General features: G+C 45.8%; 1 annotated feature.

Annotated features, from left to right (window-relative positions):
- Positions 1,416–1,585: an enhancer, noted in NCBI's record as "experimental_40776 CRE fragment used in MPRA reporter constructs". NCBI's record gives its function as "activates a minimal promoter by MPRAs in K562 erythroleukemia cells, with activity observed for both the introgressed and non-introgressed 15:68229715 variant alleles {active_cell/tissue: K562}" and the evidence as "EXISTENCE:reporter gene assay evidence [ECO:0000049][PMID:34662402]".

Here is a 5,966-nt window from a genome sequence, read left to right as displayed (position 1 = left end):
GAGGCGCGTGGATCACCTGAGGTCAGGAGTTTGAGACCAGCCTGGCCAACATGGTGAAACCCCTCTACTAAAAATACAAAAGTTACCCAGCCGTGGTGGTGCACACTGTAATCCCTCCCACTACTCAGGAGGCTGAGGCAGGCAAATCGCTTGAACCCAGGGGGCAGCGGTTGCAGTGAGCCGAGATCATGCCACTACACTCCAGCCTGGGTGACAGAGTGAGACTCTGTCTCAAAAAAAAAAAAAACCCCAAAAAACTAAAAACCTCCACAACAGCAACAGCTAAATGTATAATGCACAAATCACACTTGCTATGAAACATTCAAGTAATGCAGAAATATATAAAGGACTAAAGCCTGCAAAATGACTCTCTTCTATTTTCCCAAATCTCCCAAATGTGTGGCCTATTTTACAGAATCTCCAGGTGACTGCTTCCCCCTTCTCAGCTGACAGCAAGAGGAGTCTCTAGAGAGGAAGAAAAGAGGAGACAGGGCAGGGAAATTCCAGCTGCCGTTTCAGGCCTGAAACTAGAGCTGGGAAGAAAGCAGGGGCCGTCTCTGACACTGCCTTTATACGCAGTAGTTAGAACCTGGGTACACTAGCAAAATGAGGAACTAGCGAAAAGAAAGGAGGGGCAGCAAAGAGAGAGAGAAAAGTCAAGCTCTCCTTTACTCCCGTGTTCCATCCATTTTACTCCCACCCCAGAGGTAACAACTGTTACCAACCTTTCCCTATGCATTTACTTGTATATGGCAGATAAACAGATGAGAAATTAACTCAGTATTATTCTCCTACAGACATTTACGAAAAGATGAGACACAGATTTGGCTCCTCCATCTCTTAAGGAGGCAGGTTGTTCCTGGTCTCCAGGAGGACTGGGCCTTCCCCGACACCTTCTCCATTAGAAAGGGTTCTGCATGAGCAGGAGCTTTGATTATTCTTGTTGTCTCCCCAACACTGAGAATGGAGCTTGGTGTATGGTAATCACTCAATACATATTTTTGAATGAATGAAATCTTTTCCCTCTCCTCAGCTAAGATTCCTATTACCAACACTCTCTCCTAATTTGATCAAGTTTGAGTGGATTACAGTTCTTTTCCAATCAATGATCCCATAGTCTTGGTTGTTCACTCGGAGATAGTGGACCTATTATGGAGCTGGAAAAGCAGGACTATGTTAGTTTTAGAGTCAGAGGACCTACTTTTGTGTTGCCCACTAGCTGAAGGACCCTAAAGAGGGATAGTGGATGCTGGGGTACATCACCCCAGATCCCCTCTACCAGGCCTGAAGCAGTCATTCCCCCCAGCAGCCGGAAGTATCAAAGGCTGACAGTGGTAGGCAGAGTCTCCCAGGGGAACTGCCCTTGGCTGAAGAGGAGCTTCTCTCTCAAGGTGATGTCCTCTTCCTGGGGCAGCCCAAGGACTGCCTCTGTGCAGGAATATCAAGGCTCCGCCCCCTGCTGCCAACAGGGGACACCTCTGCAGAGCACTCCAGAGGTATAGTGATAGCATCACAGCCCAGCCTCTCCCTCTGCCCAGTCCTGCCTTCTCCACTCCCCCTCAGGGTGTTGATCCTGGGAACACTTCCCAATACACTTCCTGCATGACAATCTGTCTCAGAATCTACCTCCCAGAAAGTCCAAGATGCAACAAGAGGCCACTTAATCTCTCTGTTCCCAGCCTCCTTATCTGTACAATATAGGTATTAAAGAACATGGGCTTTCAAGTCAGACAGATCCGGATTTTAACCTTAGATCGACCACTTGCCAGCACTGTGTTTTTGAGCAATTTAACCTCTCAGAGACTTAGTTTCTCATCTGTAAAATGGGGTAGAGTAGACACTTCAAGTGCCCTGTATCACATCCCCTCAGCCTCCCTGTGGTATCAGCTGCAGCTGTGGAGGAAAATTTCATGCCATCCTTGTACTGATGTACAAATGTGATGGCTCACCATTTGTTCTTTACATTTTGTTTGTTTGTTTGTTTTGCAACAGCAAGATTTATTGTGGAGAGTGAAAGAACAAAGCTTCCACAGCGTGGAAGGGGACCCGAGGGGGTTGCCCTGTTCTTTACATTCTTTACCTCAGAGCTCCAGCACTCCTTTACCTTTATGCCCAGACCACTAGACCTTTATGCATTTCAGTGATGTGTCTGGGCCCTAAATTTGGGTAGGAGTTATTTCCCACCTTCTGGAGTGAATGTGTCATGCCACAGTCTTTAATATACTTGTCATTTCTTGCTCATTTGGTCTCATTAACATGATGTTATTGATATGCTGCACTAATTAGATATTCCATGGAAAATCCAGATGGGCCAGGTCCTTTTGGACATTATGATAAAGGCAGCAAAATTAACATGGCCCTGAGGCAACATGTAAATATATCTAATTGTCTGCTCCGTGTGAATGTGAGCTACTTCTGATCCTCCTTTCTGATAGGGATAGAAAAGAAGGCAATAAGGAGATGATTGGTCATGTACCGCATCTGGAGGGTGTATTCATCCGCTCCAGGAAGATGCCGTGTGTAGCACAACAACCACAAGTAGGGATACTACTTGGTTAAGTTTGTGGGAGTGTACTCTCAGTCGCCATGATTATGCAATTTTTGTAGGGACCAGATTGGTGAATTAAATGGGGATACAACAAAAACCACCATCCCTGTATTTCCTTAATCTTTGAAGGTGGAACTAATTCCTGCCATTCCTCCTGGAATAAAAAACAATCTTGTATTTGATTTACTATCATGGCAAAGGAGAGTCGGCACTTTTAGAGACTCAAGGAATCAATGCTAGGGTTCTACCAACTACCATGTATGTCCATTCCGAAGCGTTCAGGAATCAGGGATAGGACCACAGTGGGTTGGTGGACGCACCCAACTGGACTCACTGTGAATTAGAGCAGGATCACGGCTTCGTTGTCACCTGGAACCCATACTCCCTCATTCTGATGGGAGGGAGGGATATAAAAGCACTTTGGGTCACCAGATATCAGTGTTGAGTTAGACCCCATGGCTAATAGTCCTTCAAAGCCCTCAGAATTCCCCCTTTCTCATGGTGATACACAGTAAATGGCCATAGATTGTTTTAGGAAAGGACTGGGGCATTACTACTGAACACATTTGCCATGATGTTACAGATCCTTCCTCACAGAGACCTAACCTCTCCTTTAGTCAACGGCTCAGGTCAGAAACAGGATAAGAAATCATGATGTATTACTGGGGGTGGCTGCTTTCAACCCCCTGATCATCCATCCTTGATTTCTTTTGACTGTCTAAATTAAGCAATGCACTGTTGGCCACCCATCTATCTTGCTTCTAGGAACACTGTGTTCTATTAGCCATCTCCATAGTGCTCTGTGGGTCAGGATCCAATTTTGCTGTTCATTGCAATTGCAGTCACCTTGGTTTAAAGGTCAAGCACCACCACCTGAACTCTGTTATTTTGGGATTCTATCATACCTATGGGCATCAGGGAGCCCAGTTCTGTAATAGCACCTCCTACTGTCAGTGAAGCTGGTGCCACCTCTAGCTCCCACAGACTCATTCCTTATTGCTTCAGTAAATAGAGTGTTCTCCAGGGCCTCCCACAGAACAGAGTTGGCTGATGGGTTTTCTGGCTTTATGTGCTGCAAACACTCTAGCAGGCCCACTTGTCTGAGACTTTTACTTTTTCTTTTTTTTTTTTTTTTTTTTGAGATAGAGTCTCACTCTGTTGCCCAGACTGGAGTGCAGTGGCACAATCTGGCCCAGGTTCAAGTGATTCTCTTGCCTCAAACTCCTGAGTAGTTGGGGTTACAGGTACAGGCCACCCCACCTGGCTAATTTTTTTTTGTATTTTTTAGTAGAGACGGGTTTTGCCATGTTGTCCAGGCTGGTCTCCAACTCCTGTCCTCAAGTGATCCGCCCACCTCAGCCTCCCAAAGTGCTGAGATTACAGACATGAGCCACCATACCTGGACTACTTCTCCAAGACTTGAACTCCTATCTGCCACAGCAGTTCTAATATTTCTACTTTACTTAGTGTGAACCATTGCTTTTCCTAAGCTTCTAAAATCCATCTCTGAAGTGTGTTCACCCCCTTACCCTGGGTTCCTTGCCAGAGTGTTAAGTTCTGTATCATGGAGAGTACTCCCATATTAACACCTGCTCTTATCCACCTTTACCTTCCTCCCCTCTTGATCCAGCCTACTCAGGACCCTGTTCTGTGCACAGTGCTTGCTTAAATGTATTAGCTAGATCCTGTGGCTCCTGCAGCATATAGTGCCTCTCCTCCCTTAGCATGCTCAGCACAGCTGGGATTTAACTTTTATTAGATCGCCAGGAAGGAAGTAAAGTTGGGTTCTGAGGAGGACAAGCATTCTCATGTAGGGCACCTGCCTCACTGGAAACCTTGTATGATCTTTGATATAGTTTGGCTCTGCATCCCCACCCAAATCTCATGTTGAATTGTAATCCCCAGTGTTAGGGAAGGAGCCTAATGGGAGGTGATTTGATCATGGGGGCAGATTTCCCCTTACTGTTCTCATGATAGTGAGTGAGTTCTCACGAGTTCTGGTTGACAGTGTGTAGCACCTCCCCCGTCTTTTTCTTCTTCCTGCTCCAGTCATGTAGGACATGCCAGCTTCCCCTTCACCTTCTGCCATGATTGTAAGTTTCCTGAGGCCTCCCAGACCTGTACAGCCTGTGGAACTGTGAGCCAATTAAACCTCTTTTCTTCGTAAATTACCCAGTCTTGGGTAGTTCTTTATAGCAATGTGAGAACAGACTAGTGCAATCTTCAAATAAGGGGCACCACTGTTTGCCAACAAGAAGTGTGTCACTTCTGCAAACCCAGTGGGTTCAGAAGGACCTGAGAATTCAAGGTGCTTGACTGCATCTACTCATATATCCCCAACCCAAGTCTCAGGTTCCCAGTCCTCACCTATTATGGCTCTGACCCTGGCATTGGAGGCCTGTCAGGGCTGAAAAATCAAACCTTCTCCAAAGCTCTGCTATTTTTAACATTAAATCCTATGCCTGATCCTCCCTTTGCAGGAGGGATTTCCTTAACAGTTGCCCAGGAGGCCATCTGGCTTTAACATTTTACCTTGGTGATTATTCACTCTGAGGCTATCATTAAGTCTCTTTAGCAAGTAAATGGACTCAGCAATGGTCATTCATTTCCATAGTCCTTATAGTCACTACGGCCCCCAGTTGCCAGAGATACTACACCAATGAGTGTGACCCCTTCCACCCATATACCATATGTAGGGGAGAAAAGATTTATCTTCCTACTCATTGCTAGGTTCTTGGCTGAGACTCTGTAGCAAAAGACAGGTTAACAAGAGAAAAGCATACATATGTATTTAATATTAGTTTTACATGACACAGGAGCCTTCAGAAATGAAGACTCAAAGAAACAGGGAAACCTGTGTATCCTTATGCTTGGCTTTGATGAAGAATGAACAGTCCTGCAGAAGTCTAATGGGACAAAGGGGAGATGATCTAATAGTGATAAACTGCAGAGGGGGATCTTCACAAGGCCTCTTTGTTTAGACTCTTGTCCGTTCTTGTGTGACATTCCCTCAAGGTATAGGGCAGGACACCTGTCACCTGAGGGTTTTCAGGAGAGAAGGGTGGGAGAAGGTCAGATTGTCACCTTCCTAAGTTTTATGGCCTTGCTTCAGGGAAGAAGGTAGAGGGGAAGGTGAGAGTAGCCTTCCTGTTTCTACTATTTTCTCAATTTCCAAGGTGTTATTATTTGAAGCAGCATTTTCTGCATCCCATCACGCCCCAGTTCACCAGAAATGCAAGTTTTAGCCATCATGCAGTTACAGCATGGCAGGGACTATCCTTACCACTCCTATACCAGTTCATGGAGAGCTGACTAGCAAGTGATCCCTCTCCAAACTCCCACTTTAGAGTCTGCCACCTTGAACCCCTCTGACACCAACTGTCCTAAGTTTGGGTTCCCTGGAAGCAGACTCTGAGAT

Source organism: Homo sapiens, chromosome 15 (assembly GCF_000001405.40).
Source record: "Homo sapiens chromosome 15, GRCh38.p14 Primary Assembly".
In the NCBI taxonomy this organism is placed as follows: Eukaryota; Metazoa; Chordata; class Mammalia; order Primates; family Hominidae; genus Homo; species Homo sapiens.
The sequence above is the reverse complement of the archived record's forward strand: the minus strand, read 5'-3'. Positions and strand labels throughout refer to the sequence as shown.